Genomic DNA, 23,040 nt, shown 5'->3' on the forward strand with positions numbered 1-23,040 from the left:
GTTTATGAGGCAAGAGAACTGCTCTGGATTGGAACAGCACAACTCAAGAGATGACTATATTGAGTGAGGTGTGTCTTCCCCATGCCCTCTGCTGTTATTGCCTTTTTAATCCAAGTTGGGTAGGCATGGAATTAGCACGTTCATTAGTTGCATTCCATTTATTCAAAGAAAAAAATCTAACTGGTTATTTCTTCATCTGTGACATTCAGTTATATTGGTCAAAAATTAGTAAAAATTATTACTTGTGATCATACATATCTCATAATTCATATTAGAAATCCAAAGCAAGACATCACTACAGTTGCTCCAGTCTTTTTTGGAATCACACATACATTATAAGCCAAGAAAAAAAACAAAAAGATTTTTCATGGGGAGAAATGAGAAATCTCTTTAAAAAGCAGATGAAATTATGGTCAAGAAAAATGCACAGCCGGATGCGGTGGCTCACACCGGTAATCCCAACACTTTGGGAGGCTGAGATGGGAGAACTGCTTGAGCCCAGGAGTTCAAGACCAGACCAGCCTGGGCAACAAAGTGAGACCCTATCTCCATATTAAAATATATATTTTTTATTATATATATATATATATATATATACACACACACACACACACACACACACACACATATATTTTTAAAAATAAATAAAAAGAAAAATGCACACTCACAGTTTTGCAAACTATTTTGAGAGGTGTTCTTTAACACACACACACACACACACACACACACACACACATATTATATGTCAGATTATTCTCTATCGTCTATCCATAGATTCCCGGGAAGTTCGCTGAAATTAAATCAGAGAATTCTATTAAAACACATACTTCTCACAATTACTTAGCTTATGAAACAGGAGATATTCTAACATCCCTCCCATTTCTTCTATCTGCATTTTCATGCCATCATGCCAGTTTGGGTTCTCATTCTTTCTCTCCAGTACAGCTACATGAAGCCTCATGATGGATCTCCTGTTTCCTGACCCTGGTGCTGTCATGTAAACTAACCAGAAGCAAGATCTAGAACTGCCATTCATTTTTACCTGCAAACATCCCCTACAACTTTCCATGGCCAGGGATCTCCCAGCTGAGTCTAAACACCCAAGAGTGTGCAAGATGATTTACCAGGATGAAACACCACATCTTTCATTTATATTCAACCACATTAATTTTCAATTTTGGTTGTAGCATGTACACAAACAAAAATTGAAAATAAATTTGGCTGAATTTAATTGTGATTTATAACATAAATTGCTTATAATTTATAAATAAATAAAAATACATACACTTATGCTGCATATTTATTTCCTTTTTTTTTTAGCTAATGAGGCATGCAACAAATAAAGTGTACAGGTAACTAGTTTATAGAATAAAGTCCAAAGTCACACATTCAACAGGCCCTACAAACTGCCTTAAATTTACATATCCAATCTTGTTTGTCCTCAGTCACTTTCATTTATCTTAAATTCAGCTAAAATAGAATTACCTGTGTTTTTCCCTAAGTGCTCAGAATTCTCTAACAATTTGTGCCTTTTTTCTTGCTGTCCTCTTTACCGTGATATCTTTCTTTCCTGTTGTTGTGTGTCCAAACTCTTAGGTTCAGTTCAAATTTCCCTCTACAAAGCTTCCCTAATCCTACCCCTGCTGGAGGCCAGAAGGGTCTGAGTACCCATAATGCTTTGTCAGTACCACTCCCAGGACAGTTTGACTTTCTGCCCTATGTCATTGAGGTTCATATCTAATCTCATCATTGGGCAGAAAACTCCTTCAGGTCAGCATCTGCCATGGATACCTTTTCCCAGCTCACATTTCCTAGTTCTGTGCAGATGTAAGTAACAGAGTCAATGTCACCTGGTATGTTATTCAAACCCAGTACTCAAAAACAAAAATACTACAAACAAAAGTGCCACTGTGAGCCATTAATCTTTCATAGAATATTCAAAATTTCATAGTAAGTCATATCTCCTCTATGCATTTTCTCTTCTAGGAAAAGGCAGCTATAAATACCTCTATTTGTTCTGCTACGGGCTGTTCAAACACATTTGCCAGTTTTTGCAGAATGATGTATTTGTTGTCAGCCAGTGATGTAAACAGCACTTTCAGATCATTCTAAGGAGGAAAGCAACGGGAAAACTCAAAATGTGTAACAGGGAATTCAAAATACTTGTAAATATAACACAGATTCTAAGAAATAACATAGAGGCACAGAAATTTAATTTCCAGGAGAAACAATACTGTGCTATGGGAAGGTAAAAGGAACTGGTAACAATTTACTTATGTGCTAAAACTGACTCCTGAAGAATCTGTTACCCAAAGTATTTTCTACATAACACAAATGAAGTTGAACCATACATGTAAAAAGCAACGCTTGTCACCCTAATCTCATTACATCCGAAATAAATGAGCACAGTCAAACATTGCACAGAAATATTATATTAGTGGCTCTTATCTAGGGAAATAACCTATAGGTGTTATCCTGATTTGGGAAATAATATGATACTTAAGAATCATATGATTTCCATTTTGCTCTCTCCTCTTCTTCCCTCCCTCCATCAGTTTCTTCTTCTATTTTTGGAAAATTTGCACAAGCTTTAAAAAAGCCATCCAGAAGTTTAGAAAATAAATATTATCCATGATGGCCAAAAACATGTGAAGAGACAACACAAAAAGATCTTGTTAGGTATTTTGTTCAAAAATATTACTCATTTAAATGTCCAAATATATTTATATTGAGTTAGATTTGTATAAAAAGGAGACAACTATCAGAACTTTGGTACTTAATTCCACAGGGAATAATAAATTAGAAGAATATTTAAATTATAAAAAATTTTGGCCAGGTGCAGTGGTTCATCTCTGTAATACCAGAATTTTGGGTGCCTGAGGCAGATCACTTGAGGCCAGGAGTTCAAGACCAGCCGGGGCAACACAGTGCACCCGGTCTCTACAAAAAGTTTAAAAAAAAAATAAGTGGACACAGTGGCATGCCTGTAGTCCTATCTACTTGGGAGGCTGAAGTGGAAGGATCCCTTGAGTTCAGGAGTTTGAGGTTGAAGTGAGCTATGATCACGCCACTACATGCCAGCCTGGGTGACTTTATCTCAAAAAAAAAAAATTACCAAAAAAATGTATTTTTTTCTCTAAAATATCAACAAATAAGTTCTATTTCATAATAGTCAGCAAAAATATATTTGTCAGAGGTTAAAGCTCAACTCAGGACCTCTTTACCAGGGCCTGATCACGCACATCACCAACATGCAAACATTCTGACTGTCTAATGAGTGGAAGGATAATCGTACCAAGGAAGAAAAACATCTATAAGAACATGTGAAGGCTTTATAATGTAAATTCAGGTCTAAAAAGCAAAATAATGGGTGCATTATGCAGTAAAAATTATAAAATTGAAAATATAGCGCTGAACATGAGAACTAGAATAGTTGCCACTAACCAAAACTCAAAGCAATCTGCAAGTCTAGTGGCTAACTAAATAGGAAATTATAATAACAGCCCTGGAAAAATCCTAGAAACAATAGTTTTACATATGAGTTACTAGGTCTGTATCATTCAACTGTGTTCAGAGTAAGGTCACGTGGGCCATTAAAACCATCACACATTTATCTGTTTTTAAACCTAGTAAAAGATGTCCTGCATTCACTTGAACAGAAGCCTACATTATCTACATATGTGTGTATAGTGACATTCGTCCAGTTAATCTAAATGAGTAGCTAAGTATATATAACATAACATGGGTTAGAAATGAAGAGTGCATAGATAGATTTCCTGTATGCCAGTTTTATGCTTTGTTTTGTTTTGTTTTGAGACAGAGTCTTGCTCTGTCACCCAGGCTGGAGTGCGGTGGCGCGATCTCGGCTCACTGGAACCTCAGCCTCCCAGGTTGAAGCAATTCTCCTGCCTCAGCCTCCCAAGTAGCTGGGACTATAGGCATGCACCACCACGTCTGGCTAATTTTTTGTATTTTTAGTAGAGACGGGGTTTCACCATCTTGCCCAGGCTGGTCGCGAACTCCTGAGCTCAGGTGATCCACCTGCCTCAGCCTCCCAAAGTGCTGGGATTACAGGCGTGAGCCACCGCACCCGGCCCATTTTTATGCTTTTAATAGCATATTTTCTCTCTTAACTATGTTCTACTCAAGGTGGTAGGAAACACAGAGTTCATATTTCTGGAAGTCAGACTGATTATTGGGAGAGACTAGTCAAGAAGATAGTAAAGCAAAGAATATGATTGATTTTAAAATTACTAAATAAAAACTTTAAGAGGTGCTAGTAATCACATGGATATTGACATTTTCTTAAAAATAAAAATGCAGGCCGGGCGCGGTGGCTCACGCCTGTAATCCCAGCACTTTGGGAGGCCGAGGCGGGCGGATCACGAGGTCAGGAGATCGAGACCATCCCGGCTAAAACGGTGAAACCCCGTCTCTACTAAAAATACAAAAAAATTAGCCGGGCGTAGTGGCGGGCGCCTGTAGTCCCAGCTACTTGGGAGGCTGAGGCAGGAGAATGGCGTGAACCTGGGAGGCGGAGCTTGCAGTGAGCCGAGATCCCGCCACTGCACTCCAGCCTGGGTGACAGAGCGAGACTCCGTCTCAAAAAAAATAAAAATAAATAAAAATAAAAATGCAAAGAATTGAACTATTTTTGTATTATTACACTTGCGATACAACAGGATAATTAAGGTATCCATATATTACAAACATAAAATACATCACTTTTTTTTTCTTAATAGTCACTGGAATTATTGGCAGGGCAAAAAGGAGCAGGATTCTAGCCATTGAGAAACAGATTTGCAGAAAGTTTCAAGCTTTAAAACCAGTTGTGTCCGGGCACAGTGGTTCATGCCTGTATTCCCAGGACTTTGGGAGGTGGAGGCAGGCAGATGACCTGAGGTCGGGAGTTCGAGACCAGCTTGGCCAACATACAGTGAAAGCCCATCTCTACTTAAAAATACAAAAATTAGCTGGGCATGGCGTGCATGCCTGTAGTTCTAGCTACTTGGGAAGCTGAGGCAGAAGAATTGTTTGAACACGGGAGGCAGAGGTTGCAGTGAGCTGAGATCTCCCCATTGCACTCCAGCCTGGGCAACAAGAGCAAAACTCTGTCTCAATAAATAAATTAAATAAATAAATAAATAAATAATAAAATAAATAAAATCAGTTGTGCTGCCTCACTCATTCATTAAAGAATTCTTTCATTCATTTTCCAATTTTCAAAATAATTTACAATACACAATTATATGTTTGGGGAATTTGAGGTTACGTCCATGGGTAAAATTTTTGAAATACAAAATAGTTCATAATTGACTTTATTGTGATTCTATATATGTAATGTACATCTACATAACATCTATGCATCCTTCCAAATAGTCTTTTTGGTATAGAATAATGTTAGCAGTCTGGCAAAAGCTAATCCTGAAAGATTAAATGCAGAATGAAGGCATACCCTTCCAGTAACTGCTGAGGACTGACAGCATACCAAGGTGTTTGGTGCAAAGTTAAAACAAAAAGGAAAATAGTTTGTGACTTGACCTTTAATTATGTTAACATTGGAAAGTTTCTCTCAACTAAATTGGAACACAAATATTTTGAAATGTCTTTTTGTTCGTGAGCTGGCCACCAACAAATAGAAACTTGTTGGCAGAAGAAAAATAGAGAACGTGATTTAAAGAGAATTCCATGATTCTCTTAGATCCTTAAAACAAAGTAAGTTCCAGAGCATTCATGCCTAATTCATATTTTACTGTGACTGGTGATAATTACCAATAAAGTTTAAAAGTATGAAAGTACTAAAGATACTAAATGCAATTCACAAAAGATATGGGGAATGAGAGCAAAAGGGACTGCTGAGGCACTCGGGGATTCTGACTTGATCATCTTGGGGGCAGTAACTATCAGGGAAGACTGCTAGATAGCAGTGCCACTGACTCAGGGACAAGACTGAGTTGCTGGTGGTACCATCAACTGGCAAAGGATATTGGATAAAATTTAAGAGACTCTAATGAAGGCCCACATTCTCCATCTTCCCTGAGATCACCCTAATATGATAAAATACAAAAATATATATATTCTTTGAGTAAAATCCTGGCTCTAGTTCTTAATGGTTGAGTAACACTGAAGTAATTTAATCTTTCTCTTGGTTTTAGATCCTGTATCTCTTATAATACTACTACTAATAACAATAACAACACTTGCTGAGTGTTTACTATGTATCAGGCACTGTTCAGAGTATTTTAAACACATCTCAACTCATTTCATCCTCACCACAGTCTATGAGGCAGTTAATATGAGTATGAGTTTGATTTGACAGTTGAGGATACCAAGGTTCATGGAAGTCAAGCCGCAAAGTTATACAGCAGTAAGTGACAAAGCCGGAATTTGAACCCAGACTGTTAGCTTTGGAGACTACATGTTTAATTTTTACTGTTCTGACTTTGCAAAATTATTATCAGAACAACGTCTGCAGGATGTCGCAAAGATTAAAGACAATGAATATGAGAAAATATTTTGTGAATAAAAAAATGAAACTCAAATGTTTGTGATGGTTTTACTCTGTGGTTTTAAGAATGTAGACTACCAGAAGGCAGTGGTAATTTGTGCCTCGTGAAAATTCCATGTTTCTTGGCTAATGCTACATTTATGTGTAGTGGTTTGGTTTTTTTTTTTTTTTTTTTTTTTTTTTTTTTTTTTTTTTTTTGCAAATCAAAACTCCACATGAAACTCTTGGCCCTAATGACATGTCTCTATTTTATAAAATCTTTCATGTTGGTTAAAAATAACATTCAATTAAAACTTATGTATTCTCAAAGAGTGCTTTTTATTAGGAATGAAAAATCAGCACTAAAAGTTTATCAGCAGCTTTTGCATTTGTTCCGGTATATATTCATAGGAAAAGTTTCCTAAGCACACAATAAGAATTATAATATGGGGCTAAAAGGCAGTAAGTCTGAGGAGTTAGGACTGGAAAGTAACGTAACACATTTTAACACAGGTAGAAGTAATTAGACCACAGCCACTTTCAAAGACTCTTAGGTACTACAGTCTATGGCCCTTTCTATATTCCAACACTTTCTGCATACTCTTTTTTTTTTTTTTTTTTTTTTTTTGAGACGGAGTCTTGCTCTGTCACCTAGGCTGGAGTGCAGTGGTGCAATCTCAGTTCACTGCTACCTCTGCGTCCCGGGTTCAAGCGATCCTCCTGCCTCAGCCTCCAAGTAGCTGGGATTACAGGCCTGCACCACCACACCCTGCTAATTTTTGTATTTTTAGTAGAGATGGGTTGCATTATGTTGGCCAAGCTGGTCTCAAACTCCTGACCTCAAATGATTTGCCTGCCGTGGCCTCCCAAAGTGCTGGGATCACAGGCGTGAGCCACTGTGCCCGGCCATTTTCTGCATATTCTTTCGCAATGTGTTTAAACTCCGGTATTAGTAACTAAAAATTATAATTATAATGATCCATAAATTTGACTTTTATTGATTGAATTCTATTCAGTCCTTAGTTTGAAGTGGGTGGTTTTCTCAACCTTCCATTTCTAGGAGCAAAAAATCTTTAGCTTCTAATCCTTTAATTCAACCCCCTTCATTTTCTACAATGCTCTTGTTCTTCATTACGCATTTAGAAAAACAACAACCAGGTCTGTAACACAGACTCGTGACTGACTATTACTGAATACCTAGAGAATGGTCACGTATCCTTTGATAATATCTTACTTACCTGGAAATTTAGTATTTGCTGAAGTCTTTCTTTCATCTGATGACATCGTTGATTCACTACTGAGTCTAGCAAGGATAACCTGCCCAAAAGACAACCCAAAGTATCTTCAATAACATCTCGATTATCACCATTCTCTGGAAAAGCTTGGGAAAACAAGTTTTTGTTCTTATCCATTTCTTCAGACATTTCCTTAATGTCTTTGGCAAGAATCTAGAGGTGATAAAAGGGCATTTTTCAGTGTTTAGATACATGAATTGATATGCAAATCATGTTATTTTCTCATAGAAAGTCAACTAGATCTCTCTGGCTGCTTAGTAATAATCAGACCTAAGACAACTGGAACCTCTTTCAAATACTTCTATACATTTCAGGAAGTTGCTCTCAGAGACTTTACCTCATTCACTAGTAATAATGAGCAATGTAAAGTGCTATTTAGGAATTTGGTACTTTTTTTAAGCATGTGTTTCGTATTTGGAAGATTTGTGATACATAACAGTGTTTCTACAAAGAGTTTCCCATTTTTCCCTCATACTTACACAAGACAAAGAATGAAAATGCGAACTATAAATATTCTGCATTTAAGCAATTATGTTCTGCATTATTAGAATTGTTTTATGTTTGACTTTCTTTATGCATAAAATTAATTATCCCATCAAAATGTCAAGTGCTTTGTAATGTTATACACACACAGGCAGGAACTACTAAACCTACCTCTTGGTTGAAGAGACAAGTCTCTGTTTCTTCTGGTAAAAGTGCTGTGGCAACAAATAAACGTTCTTCAACGTCATCCAACCAAGTAGAGGTGGCTGAGACTCCATCATACAACTTCTGCTCCAAGTGTATACTCTGCCTCTTTGCCCCTCCACTCTGGGAAACACAAAACAGGGTCAAATAATCAATTTCAGTGTTTTGAAAATCCAGGAAAAATATCAGGATGGGGCCGGTGCAGTGCTCACACCTGTAATCTGAGCACTTTGGTAGCCCAAAGCAGACAGATCACTTGAGGTCAGGAGTTCAAGACTGGCCTGGCCAATAGGGCAAAACCCCATCTGTACTAAAAAATACAAAAATTTGCCAGTCGTGGTGGCATGTGCCTGTAGTCCCAGCTTCTTAGGAGGCTGAAGCATGAGAATTACTTGAACCCAGGAGGTGGAGGCTGCAGTGAGCTGAGATCGTGCCACTGCACTCTAGCCTGGGTGACAGTGCAAGACTCTGAAAAAAATAAAATAAAATAAAATAAAAAACAGGAAACAGGATGGGGCCAGGCGCGGTGGCTCGCGCCTGTAATCCCAGCACTTTGGGAGGCTGAGGCGGGCGGATCACGAGGTCAGGAGATCGAGACCATCCTGGCTAACATGGTGAAACCCCGTCTTCACTAAAAATAAAAAAAATAAAAAAAAATCAGCCAGGTGTGGTGGCACACGCCTGTAGTCCCAGCTATTCGGGAGGGTGAGACAGGAGAATCCCTTGAACCCAGGAGGCGGAGGTTGCAATGAGCCGAGATTGCACCACTGCACTCCAGCTTGGGTGACAGAGTGAGACTCGGTCTAAAAAATAAATAAATAAATAAATAAATAAATAAATAAATAGGATGGGACTCCAGGGTCCAGTGATCTTTGTTTCAGCGCTTATCACTAGTGTTGGGTCTCATGCTCAGGGGTGGATGCAACAGTCTCACAGAGGCCAGGCAAATCAATACAAGCAAAACAAGACTCTTATAAACCAAGCCAAACACACTGATAACACAGCCTTACCTGGGATGAAACCTCCTCGAAGGCTTGGTTCAGTCCATCCAGCAAAGATGTAACTGCAGATTTATCTTGGGTTGGCACGTCCCCTTTGTACAGTGGCACACCAGACAAGAGTCGATTTGGCCTGCTATAAAGCTGTAGGCAAACAAAGGCAGCTTGTTGAAGAGCATATGCATTATGTCCCAGTATTCTCATTTGGAAATGCATACTGAAATAGATGCTGAAAACACTGTCCATATGAAAATTTCTTCTAGAGAAATATAACTTCTACAACATACCATGTCCACTGAACACAGTGGCCAGATGCATCAATGGCAATGTTTCCATGGATGGATTTTTTTTTTTTAAGCAGTGGAAAAAAATGTCTGACAGATAGGAGGAATAAGTTCTGGTGTTCTATTACACAGGAGGTCAAACACAGTTAACTATAACATATTGTATATCTCAATAGCTAGAAGAGAGGATTCTGAATGTCTCTACCGCAAAGAAGTGATAAATGTTTGAGATGATGAGTCTGCTAATTACCCTGACTTGAACATTACACACTGTATACATGTATCCAAACATCACACTATACACCAGAAATATGTACAAATATTATATACAAATAAAATAAAGCAGGCCACCCACGATGGCTCATGCCTGTAATCACAGCACTCTGGGAGGCTGAGGTGGGCAGATCATTTGAGGCCAGGAGTTCAAGACCGGCCTGGCCAACATGGTGAAACCCCGTCTCTACTAAAAATACAAAAAATAGCCAGGTATGGTGGCATACGCCTATAATCCCAGCAATTCAGGTGACTGAGGCACGAGAATTGCTTGAACCAGAGGCAGAAATTGCAGTGAGCTGAGATCACACCACTGCACTCCAGCGTGGGCAAAAGAGCAAGACCCTGTTTCAAAACACACAAAAGATGACATTATAAAAAAAGAAAATTAAATTAAAAGGTGGCTTGCAAATTTTATGAAATAAATGACATTAAGACATAAATAAATTAGAAACAGAAAGGATGAGAACAGACATTGCTGAAAATGGAATCACTGGCATAGAGAAAACTCTTGCAATAATCAGATGAAAAGTAAATCCAAATTTTAAAAAAACAAAGATCAGTACAACTAAAAATAAGTCAATAGGTATAGAAAAAAGATGATCTAACACAAGGATAATTGATGTCCCTGAAGCAGAGATATAATAAATATAGCATAAAATACATCTAAATCATGCCAAAAAATTCCCTAAAATTAATAAAAAAGCAAACCTTGATTCTTAAATATAAAAAAAGTACATTGTGTTACAGGAAAAATATGATAGCAGAACACTCAACATCAAACATAGCCTAGATAAGCTGTTGAAACTTAAAGAAAACTAAATAATTCTTCTGGCATCCATACAGAGAACAATGACAAAAAATAAATAAGGGGAAAAATAGTAGACTGATGTTAGATTTTTCTAAAGCGTCATTCAATGCCAGAAGAGAAAAATAGATATAAATACAAATTCTGAAGGGATAAAAGTATGACAGAAAACTGTCCATCCAATATAGAGGCAACTAGCTGATATTCCCAAACATGATAGAACCTGAGTTTTCTTGAAAAAAGTTATTTGACAATGAAATTAATACCTGAGAGCTGGATCAAAATTAAAAATTTAGGAATTAAAAAGATATGCTGAAAGGATTGGTTATGAGCACTGAGGAATTTAAAGATTAAATTGATTTACAGAATATGGGAATTGTTACAATTGTTCCTTTTCATTTTCATCTTTGCACTTGGCTGCATTATGCGAATTATTATAATGCATATATGTAGTTTTTCAAAATAATAGAGTAATTTTTCTTAAAATTGACTAAATAAAGTTATTAGCAATCATAAAGAAATCTTATCACAGCTTTCCTCTCAACTTTTCTTCTTGGTTTTAGTAGTACCTATAGTGAAATAATCCATCCTAAATACAAGACTCCTAGACTGATCTCTTTGCTTTCATTATTAACCCCATTTCCCCTAAACTCTTTTAGGTATACATATGGCTCCCCAATAAGGGCAATGATATGGTGTAGCATTCAAACTTTTGACCATGTTTTCAATCAAACTCAGTCTCCTTTTTCTTTTTTTCTTCTTCTTTTTTTTTTTTTGAGATGGAGTCTTGCTCCATCGCCCAGGCTGGAGTGTAGTGGTGCGATCTTGGCACACTGCAACCTCTGCCTCCCGGGTTCAAGTGATTCTCCTGTCTCAGCCGCCTGAATAGCTTGGATTACAGGTGTGCACCACCACATGAAGCTAATTTTTGTATTTTTAGTAGAGACAGGATTTCCCCATGTTGGCCAGGCTGGTCTTGAACTCCTGACCTCATGTGATCCGCCCGCCTCAGCCTCCCAAAGTGTTGGGATTACAGGTGTGAGCCACTGCACCCAGCCATCAGTCTCTTTTGACTTTTCAAAATACCTCCTCACCTTTCAGGCTGACTACTCATGATCCTGTAAATATGCCAAGCCCATTCCCCATTGCAGCTGGGATATCCTCCACCCAGCATCCCCTTAAAATCTACTACTTTAATTTCCATACCGATCATAGCAACTTTTGACTATTTTTTCTTAACCTTTGTTTCCTTTGAATTCCTGCTTATGGATCCTGTCATAGTTGCCTAATTTTTTTTTTAGAAATGTATGCACTATTTCCTTATTCGGGTTATAGGTTCTCAGAAGCAGGAGCTGTATTTCACCCTGAAGCCAAGTAGGTTGTTGTGCATGGAAGCATTAAATACATTGGAAGTAAACAGATTAAGAAAAATTGCTCTAAGAGGTTAGTGCCCTTTGACCTAGTGAACTTTAGGCCAAAATGTGCCTGTTTTTACATATGAAACTAGTAAGTATTTCTAGGATACAAAATTGCCATTAAGGTAGTATGAAAGAGGAGGGACTTAGGTAACAGAGATATCGGCTTCCTGATTCCAGATTCACCTCTTCTTAGTCGCAAGACCCTCTCTAAGCCTCAGTTTCCAGGTCTACAAAGTAGAGATAATATTGACCTCACCACAACGTTGTTAGCGATGTTAACACCTAGAACTTAAAATGTGCTCATTATATGATCACTCCTTTCTGCCTGGAAACTGACAGCTAAATTGCTTCTTCCCTCTCTTTTCCTTCACCTTTTCACACCACAGAGAGGAAAACAACCTATGAGGCACTTTGTACAAATGACCAGCGATTGCTGAAACAAAGCACTCAAATGCAAAAATGTCATTAAAAAAAGAACATTCAATGCTTTTATTTCTAATCCAAAGGCAAGGGAGGCACAACATGAACCTAAATTTGAACAGTCCAGGTATTGTGGAATGTCAGTGGCAGCAGGGCAAGGTTTGTTCAGTAAGCACAGCATGGAGGACGCTGGAGTGTCGGCTCCAACTGAGAGCAAAAGCAGCTCTTGAAGATGAAAGCGGGTAATGGATGAGACCTCCAGGAGGTCTGCAGATGCCGGACGAATCACACAGGTGCTTTATGAATGGAGAATAATACGCAAGCACAGAATCTAGAAATATCGTAGATTTCTCTAACTTAAGATAGTCAGAAAAGACTGCAGTCCCTGATTCAGAACTGTACATACCTCTCCTATTCAAAGGATTGGAGGGATACTAGAATATGAAGGGAGAGCTAGCAGTCAAGTCCAGAAGATCCGTATCAGGAACAAGGAATTTGAGCTATGAGTCTGGAGGACATTTTATCAGGGATTTGAGGAAGGATGAATTAAAATACAGGGAGGAGGTCCACGCAAAAAGTATAGGGCACCATTTGCCAGGGTGGATACGATTCTGGGACACCTGCTTCCAGGAATACAGTGCTTTAAGTTTCCCAGGGCAGAGCTGGTGGCTATTTCTGCAGACAGAGGTAAAGAAGCCTCCTGGCCAGAGAGGGAAAGTGAGGGGGCAGAAAATTCACAAAAGCATGTGCTTTTATAAAAACAGAATAGAAAGCGTGGCTCTGGAGAGACGTATGTGTGGCTATCCACAGATGACAGGACACCTTATGACCTTCAGACCAGCGATCCCCAACCTTTTTGGCACCAGGGGTTGGTTTCTCGGGGGTGGGAGAGACGGTTTTAGAATGAAACTGTTCCACCTCAGATCATCAGGCATTAAATTCATAATAGAAGCATGCAACCTAGATCACTCACAAGCATAGTTCACAATAGGGTTCACATTCCTATGAGCATCTAGTGCTGCTACTGTTCTAACCAGGAAGCAGAGCTCAGGCAGTAATGCTCACCTGCCTGCCGCTCACCTCTTGCTGTGAGGTCCAGTTCCTAACAGGCCACGGACCCATACCTGTCTGCAGCCTGGGGGTTGGGAAGCCCTGCTTTAGACCATCTCCTTCCATTTAACTCTGGCAGGTTGCGCCTGCTTTCTAATGCCTACTTTCTCAGCTCCAGCGTTTCCCTCCTCCAATTCACTACAGTTATTGACACCCTTTGCTTCTGGTTTAGCCTCTCCCAGCCCCTAAGCTAGTTCTGGCCAGAGCAGAGAAACAGCAGCTTCCGCAGAGCAACAGGAAAGGTTTTAGAATTCACTCCGATAATACTGCTGACTTGGAATGAGCCTAGATGGACGCTGCTAGCCCAGGACAAAGGACTAGTCTTGTATCTGAAGAATTCCTCTGGGCCACAGCTGTGGTAGGCATCCCAGGCTGGCTTGTGTTCCTGACTCCCTCATTTGCCCTCTAACTTTCTAAGTCCTCTGACTTCCAGTTGTTCCCTGGCTTCTGCTTAGAGTGAAGTAATAGCCATTATCTGGAACCATCTGTTGCTGTCTTCAATTCCCTTGGATTTGGCATGCCTGGTGGAACCAAGCCCGACAGCACACAGTATCCCTCCCAGGAACCAGCCTTGCAGATGGGTCCATAACTATTCCAGCTGACCACTGGCTTCACTTCCCTGCCCTAGACCCACCAACGTCCCAATATGTTTCTCATTAAGATCTCCTGAAATTATTAAATACTGGAAGTGGCAATGGAAAATAAGATGGCCTCACAATTGAGTTCCAGATTTGTGGAAATCCTTCTGTCCTAGATGTGCATATCCTTGATTTCCATCCTTACTTTTTCAAGTTTGCAAAACACACACAAAAAGAGGGCACTTAAAATGTAATGGTTTAGGCTAATAAGGAATCAGATATTAATCATCTCTGAGGAAAAATATTGTCTATAAATCAAATAAATTTTCACATATAAATATATAATTATGAAGGGAAATGTGAAATAGACTTGTTAAGAAAAATGTAGAGTGAAAAATTGGTGTCATGTCTTAGTTTGAAATTGATCATGAAAATTAAGTTGATTGCACAGTTATAATCCCTCAGCATAAACTCTACATCTTTTATATTAGTTAATATATAATGTAAAATATTTGATACCACTTGCTCTTGTTCCTGTTCCAGAACATTCTGTAGTAGTTTCTGCTTGGTACTAAATTCTTGATGTAGGCTTTCCCATTTCATTCTCATCTGGTCTTCAGCGGATGATTTCTCCCCTTCCATCCCCAACTCCTGGGATAACACATCAGGTTTTTCGCTATTAGAAGAATAAATAATCTAAGTTTACAATGTGCACAAAAAAGTGATAAGACAGGTAACTTATTGTGTGTACCAGACCTGGCTTCTCAAATGAAATAAGATTACCTTAGTTATTAGCTTACACTTTAAAAATAACAAAAATGTTTAGGCCAATCATAAAGCAACTATATTCCTACTCATTGATAAACTGAACCATGTGCAGAAGGGATACTTAAAAATGCATTGAATAAAAATAATTGTAACATTTGGAATAAAAAATTATAGCACGATTACAGACTAGTATCCTTTGGCAAATAGCAGAAAAGTTAGTTCAAAACCTTAAAAATGTGTTAGTCTAGGGAGAGTTACGATTATGAGTCCAGAGAAAACACAGGACACAGGAGGGCGGTGCAGGACACAGGAGGGTACAACAGGACACAGAGAAATAGTACAGGGCCTGGAAAGGTAGTACAGGACAGAGGAAGGATCGTACAGGACCTGGGAAGGTAGTACAGGGCATGGAGGGATAGTACAGGACCTGGGAAGGTAGTACAGGACACGGGAATGATCATACAGGAACTGCGAAGGTAGTACAGGGCATGGAGGTATAGTAACAGGGCCTGGGAAGGAAGTATAGGACATGGAGAGATAGGACAGGACCTGAGAAGGTAGTAGAGGACCCTGAGGAGGAATAATACAGGACCTGGGAACGTAGTACAGGGCACGGAGGGATAGTACAGGGCCTGGGAAGGTAGCACAGGACACGGGGAGATAGTACAGGGCCTGGGAAGGTGATACAGGACATGGAGGGGTAATACAGGGTCTGGGAAGGTAGTACAGGACACGGAAAGATAGTACAGGGCCTGGGAAGGTAGTACAGGACATGGAGAGATAGTACGGGACCTGGGAAGGTAGTATAGGACACGGAAAGATAGTACAGGGCCTGGGAAGGTAGTACAGGACACAGGAATGATCGTACAGGATGTGGGAAGGTAGTATAGGGCATGGAGGAATAGTACAGGGCGTGGGAAGGTAGTGCAGGACATAGGAAGGATCGTATAGAGCCTGGGAAGGTAGTACAGGACACAGAGAGACAGTACAGCACCTAGGAAGGTAGTACAGGACACGGAGGGATAGTGCAGAGAGATATGGGAGGAAGGCCCTGCAGTGTCATCCTTAAAGGTAGGCAGCAATGTGACATCTGAGATTGGTATGGCTCTTATTTATTTATTTATTTTTGAGACAGGGTTTCACTCTGTCACCCAAGCTGGTGTGGACTCGTGTGATCACAGCTCACTGTACACTCAAACTGCTGGGCTCATGCAATCCTCCCACCTCAGCCTCCCAAGTAGCCTCCCAAGTCTGGTATGCACCACCAGACTTGGCTAATTTTTTTTTTTTTAATTCTTTGTAGAGACAGGGTCTCACTATGTTTCCCAGGCTGGTCTGGAACTCCTGAACTCAGATGATCCTCCTGCCTCAGCCTCCCAAATTTGTGGATTTCAGGAGTGAGCCACCATGGCTAGCCAAGTTTAACTTTTAGAGTGAGACAGACCTGGATTATGACCCTCCCTCTAGCACATTATCTGTGACACTGGGGTAATTTGTTTCACTTCTCTGTGCCTCAATCTTCTCATCTTTAAAATGAAGATAGTATCTACCTTGCATGATTATGAGAATGAAAGAGAATACATGCATAAGGCCTATAACCCTATCTGGGAAATAATGGCCACTCAATAAATGGGGGTTAATAATGACGAAAATGGGCTGGGTGTGGTGGCTCATGCCCAGCACTTTGGGAGGCCAAGGCAGGTGGATCACCTGAGATCAGGAGTTCAAGACCAGCCTGGGCAACATGATGAAACCTCATTTCTACTAAAAATACAAAAATTAGCCAGGCATGGTGGCGCACACCTGTTGTCCCAGCTACTCGGGAGGCTGAGGCAGGAGAATCACTTGAACCCAGGAAGCAGATGTTGTGGTGAGCTGAGATTGCACCACTGTACTCTTCTTGGTGACAGAGCAAGACTCCATCTCAAAAAAAAAAAAAAAAAAAAAAAAAAGATGAAAACAGGAACAACCTAGGGTGGCTGAATTTCCACGGATCTTCATTCTTCAGGACCTTTGAAGTCCTAACTAAAACCGTGTCATCTAAAAGGAATACTAGATATTAATTAATATTTTGATGCAGGGCGTTTTGCTCAAGTGAAAAAAAAAGAATAACAAGTGTGTTGGCAGGATAATACTCTGTGGTACCCCAAAGCCAATTATTCTTAGAATAAATGTAAACACAACAGTGTCTTTAGATAAGTCTCTAGAAATAAGACTTAAAATTTCTGTAAACTGGCCAGGCACAGTGGCTCACACCTGTAATCCCAACACTTTGGGAATCTGAGGCAAGAGGATCACTTGAGCCCAGGAGTTTGAGCCCAGCCTGGACAACATAGCCAGACCCTGTCTCTACAAAAAAAAATTCAAAAATTAGCCAGGCATGGTGGTACATGCCGGTAGTCCCAGCTACTTTGGAGGCTAAGGCAAGAAAATCATTTGAGCCTGGGAGTTCAAGGCTGCAGTAAGCTATAATCACACCACTGCACTCCAGCCTGGGTGACAGAGTGAGACCCTGTCTCAAGAAAAATAAAACTCTTAAAATGTGTGATGCAGGGATTCCACTCCTAGGATATAATGCAGAGAATCTTTCCCATCTGAGAGACATGTAGGAAGTTAATTTAAACAATGCTAAAAGCAGCAATCTTAGGGCTGGGCGTGGTGGCTCACACCTGTAAACACAGCATTTTGGGAGGCCAAGGTGGGTGGATCACTTAGGTCCGGAGTTCAAGACCAGCCTGGCCAACATGGTGAAACCCCATCTCTACTGAAAACACAATTAGCCAAGCATAGTGGTGGGCACCTGTAATCCCAGCTACTCGAGAGGCTAAGGCAGGAGAATCACTTGTACCCGGGAGGCAGAGGTTGCAGTGAGCTGAGATCGCATCACTGCACTCCAGCCTGGGCAACGCAGCAAGACTCTGTCTCAGAAAAAAAAAAAAAAAAAAAGCAATAGTAACAATAATAATAATGGCAATGGCAATAGTGCAAATATCCAGCAATAAGAAAATGGGTGAATAAATTATGTTCACAAAATAAAATACTATTAAACAGTTAAAATGAAGAACTAGATCTATATCTCAACATGCATATATCTCAAAAAATAATGGCGAGTGAAAAAAATGCCAAAACATAATTGATACCTTCAGTTGAGTGTCTATAATATTAGTATCTGAATTTTTCTATTTTCTAAAAATTATTTTTAAAAAGCTTTGAAGTTCCTATGAGGTTAAATTTCTTTATTGCTTTTTTCTTTTGTGGTAATAGCCTATAGTATAGCACTTTTAATTCATTTGTATTTACATAAAAATTTGTAATAAAACCAGAGGAATATTTAATATTTATAGTCTTACATTTAATCATTGACACACGTACAACACCAGTAGCAAACCTTTTAAAACATAGCCTTTTGTTCCCCATGAAAATTATTCTTCTTTCCTTTTATATTGACATCAACAAATTTCCAGTTGTTTTTCCTTAGTAATCTTGGAAGGCACCCTCCATCAACCCTCGACAAGTAACATAGTACTTATTCCTTACACGGCAAATGTGTGACTCTATAAAGTAGGTCATGCCCTTCCCACAGAGGTTTCCTCACACAAACCAAGTCACATTTATAGTCTTAGAAAAGCAGCTGGCAAGTTAAGGGCTGAATATCAGGCTTTTTCCTAGCAAGGTTTATATATATATACATATATATTTACTTTGGAATGTAGATATCATTAATTCATGGTTAATTGTTTGCCTGGTACCCAAAGGCTTGAAAACAGGCTGAGCTGTTATCAACTGCATATAAAGGTGAAGTTTCTTAAAAATTTGTGTAAAAGTTAAAGAATTTATAAGTAGTCTTTAAAGTGGATCTTATATAGAAAGCCAGTACTGCACTGCAAATTTATTTTTAAAATATTTTTTATATTTGAAAGAGTAACTTACAGTTGTTTGTATTTCATTTAGGTCCTTTCCAAAGCTAAAGGCCAAGGAAAGAAAAAAATATATATGGTAATAAAGTTGCAGAAGATCCCTTCTGCTCCTTTAGTGATGATACATACAGAGAGGAAGCAATGCTGGATGGGTTCTTTGTCAAAATATTTGTTTGGCAAAAATATTCAGAAAACTATGCAAGATAAGTAAACATTTTAGAGGACCTGGAATGTAACGTGAAGGCAAGTCTTGGCTCAATCAACATGAAAGAAACAGTCTCACTTCGGGTTTATTACAGACACATATTCATGGTCTAATCAGCATCTTTAAGCATGATACACAACAGACAGTTTTTAAACTCCTTTATATTTTTAAGGCAATTTTTACAGTTTTAGGGTTATTTAAAGTCAGTCCCTGCTTATAGATGCCATAATACTATTCATTCCTATTCTTTTACATTGATATTTATTAGCCATGTCAAAACTTTCACAGATTTTTGTTTTGTTTTCCTTTTCTTGAATGCCTTCCTATTTCCTACATTTTTTGTCACAATATATCTGCTGCAATTGCATTTTAGTTTGTTTATTCTCCTATCACTTGCCCTCAGAATTCGTATATATGTATATATGTGTGTGTATATGTAACAGACTGTACGTAGTCAGCATTGACGTCATATGTCAGCACTGATTAAACTGCAAAAAAAAAGTTTAATTCCTATGTCGTCCATCTCTAAAATGTTTTTTTTATTATTGACGGTCTATTCTAGTTCTTATCTACACACATACTCTACTTTCAACTTTATATCACATTTTTACTTAGCATCATACATTTATTTTTTGATACGGTTACATCACTTTTGGTTAAGATTATATATGTATAAAATTTTCTTCAACTTTTTTATAGTAGTGAGCATTTATGTCTTTTTAATTATTTGGTATTACAAATAATATTTCCAAAACCACCTTCATAATACATATTTCCTCCTTTATGTTACTTCCCCTAAAAAATGACTATTCAGAAATGGGAAATGGAGTCAAAGTTATTTGCCAAAGGATACTACCAAATTACAACTTTTAGTAATACATAAACACAGAGGTTGCATGAAAACTTTTTTTTTTATGTTTTAGATTTCAAAGAAAGTTTTCCTGTATATCCTCTCAGTTGACATTCATAATTATCACAAAACTTCTGTGATGACCTTAGTGGATTATTATTCTAAATTCTACAGAGGAGGCTCACAGTCGAGTGACTTTTCCAAAGTGACCTTCGTGGAACTAGAATAAAACTCAGACCTGCCTCAAAATATAGTGGTGCTTCCACACTGCTGCAATTCCTCTATGACCTTTTAAATAAAAGTCTTCAACTTGAAAATTCTCCAACTTCCTTAATTTTTCTTGACTCTTCTGTGTAGAAGACTTTGAAAGTCTTCACTCCAGACCAAGATTTCAAAATATTTAACGGGCCCCTGCATTTATTTTTTAGAATGTTGTTAGGGCAAGATAAGCTCTTACAGAGAGAATGCTCTCCAGTGAGATACAATCATTCAGTTAGAAACATCATGCATCTCATTTATAATGCATTTCTTATTCGATTAAAAAGATGAACTCATGAGCATCTTTGGACAGATAGGCTGCGCAGGCTGGAAGGAGGGCAAACAAGTAAGCTTACTACAGGCGCTATGCTCAGGCAATGCAACAGAATGTTCAAAATGCAGGTACATTTACTACCCTAAAGTAAAAATAAGATGACTAAATTTTGCAGAAGATGTTTAAAATAAAATTTTGAGTGAGATGTTTACTTTTCTTCAAATGTCAGGGAAACACAATGAAGAGAAAATGGAAGCATTTTGAAACATACCCAGCATCACCAGAGGTCTCTGCCGCCGAATGTTGAATTAGAATCTCCTCTCCACGACTGGCTACTGAGCGAAGGAGACTCTTCTGCTCGGCTAATTCCTGTTCTAACTCCTGCTCAAGGGAAAGGACAAACGCAAACACATTTGCTACTTTATGATTATTGCCTACAATCATAGTTCTAGCTATAAAATTCTCAGAGAACTTCGGTAGTGAGCTTTTAAGTTTGCATATTGCATAAAGCATGAGGTTTATGTAAATATTCAAATGTGTCTCCAAAGTACTCTGTAGTGTTCTTTTGCTTTGATACAGGATACCTCTGAAAAATCTGGGGGTTAAAAAAAAAAAAAAAACCACCAATGGGAAAAGAAAATTTTGCCGGGCAATAGTGCCCTCAAGTGGTACAAAATGTACTCTCATTTTTCAAAATCAATATTGTCATGCTAAAAGGATAGATCCTTGGGAAAAGTGGCTTTTTAAGTTCTCCACTTAATTGATAAATTAGGTTATCAATAGATTTGGCTTTAATTCTTCATTATTTATAATAAATCCTCTTGTTATTTGAGAAAATAAAATATTTGAATATGCTTTTTACATACAGTTAAGGTACCAATGAGAAATCATTCTTATTCATCAAAGTTCATTTGTTTCACTAGGCAACAATTAGCAATCCTATTTTGTAACGACATCTACTTGAAAGTAAAAATACAAACTGCATTCATTAAAAAAAATAACAAACATGCAACTTACACTTTCACCAAACCTCAAAAGGCTTTCCTGAGATTTATATTAAAATTAAATAGATTCAGAGGGCAAATCTGAAAACAGAATAGGTATCTCTGGTAAAGAAGATGAGAGCCATGTTACACTATTTGTAAACCTAAACACAAGCTTTTCTTAAAGACTGGATTTTCAAATGACCAATCATCCCAGTGGTCATGAGTCAATACACTGAAACACCAACATCTTGCTTCATTCAAAGAGAAGATAAAGAGACACTCTGTCTTTAGTACAGAAGCAACTTGTCTGTCCTTCTGAAATATGCCTCTCAGGTTCTTCTCTGGGCAGATCTGCAAGCTAGAGAGAGGTAGGAAACACTTTACTTTTTGTTGCTGGAGACTGCTCTGCCGCTGCTGGGTCCATGTGGTGCGAGCTTGGGCCAGCCATTCCTGGACGCCGGGGCTCTGCGTGGCTGTTAGGTCAACATCGCTCTCCTCCTTCTCCTGTGCTGTTCCCTGCTTTTAACGAGGCAGAAATCAAGTCATGCTACACACCGGAAAACCTTAACCAAAGGGGAGAGAAGGCTACTTTGGTGTGATCTATGTAATGATACCAAAGTGGCTCCACTGGGATGTGAAACCACATTTTTTAAAAAAAACAGTAACACAAAACCCATCTAAGTTATGGCATTTGCAGGAGCAAGAACAACATACAGATAATCACACATAGAACTGTTTGAGGGGAAAACCCATATATTTAGAGGTTAGTCTTTTAGCTGACCAATGTGGTCATCAGATATTCCAGATTTTTTTTCCACAAAAACATAACTCAAGATCCTTTGATGAGTTTGTTTTTTAAGTCACACAAAGGTAAACTGTTTCTCAAATGATCATTACCCACAATAATTGTGTCTCTCCCGTGAAAGCATTACCCTGCCTTATGTCACTTTCTCTAATCCAGGTCCAGACAATGAAAGATTTTTAGAATAATCTTCCTAAAAATTTTTCTAAAAGATTATTAATCAAAGACATTTTAATGTCTTTGAGAAGCAAAAAGTTCACTGTTCTGTAAGGCATCATACTCTCTGGAATTCAGTAAGAACTTAAATTTGATTCTCAGTTCATATGGGAGAAAATGTACTGCAGCATAGAGGCAAGGAGTCTAAACAAGGGTTTCCCAGGCCGGCTGGACATCCTCTGTTCCACCTTTCACAGACCAGGTCTTGACCTCTATGTCACAGAGCCTCACCTCCACCACAGTAACTCAAGTCCCAAGACACTGAACTAGGCAGGAAGCCTCATCCCTGATACTGGTCTGTGTAAACCTTCTGTGTCTACCCTACTAGGGCGATAGATTTAAATTATTCCTAGAATTCTCTATCTTTGAGAGTCTGCTGTTTATATAATAATATTTATAGACTGAC

The 23,040-nt window shown here is 38.7% G+C and overlaps 1 protein-coding gene across 49 annotated transcripts in view; it reads right to left on the minus strand.

Annotated features, from left to right (window-relative positions):
- Positions 1-23,040, minus strand: part of SYNE1 (spectrin repeat containing nuclear envelope protein 1) — a 515,676-nt gene that overhangs the window by 125,468 nt on the left and 367,168 nt on the right. For 34 of the 49 annotated variants that reach the window (XM_047418508.1, XM_017010610.2, XM_017010609.2 and 31 more), the window contains 7 exons: positions 22,001-22,135; positions 20,902-21,011; positions 14,878-15,034; positions 9,480-9,611; positions 8,437-8,592; positions 7,726-7,935; positions 2,007-2,108 (listed from right to left, as the gene is read on the minus strand). In XM_047418508.1, the coding sequence (XP_047274464.1) occupies positions 2,007-2,108; positions 7,726-7,935; positions 8,437-8,592; positions 9,480-9,611; positions 14,878-15,034; positions 20,902-21,011; positions 22,001-22,135 (1,002 nt within the window). The remainder of the gene's footprint in view (positions 1-2,006; positions 2,109-7,725; positions 7,936-8,436; positions 8,593-9,479; positions 9,612-14,877; positions 15,035-20,901; positions 21,012-22,000; positions 22,136-23,040) is intronic. The other 15 variants (NM_182961.4, NM_033071.5, XM_017010615.2 and 12 more) reach the window with 1 other exon arrangement.

The sequence above is a fragment of the Homo sapiens genome, chromosome 6, assembly GCF_000001405.40.
Source record: "Homo sapiens chromosome 6, GRCh38.p14 Primary Assembly".
Taxonomy (NCBI): domain Eukaryota; kingdom Metazoa; phylum Chordata; class Mammalia; order Primates; family Hominidae; genus Homo; species Homo sapiens.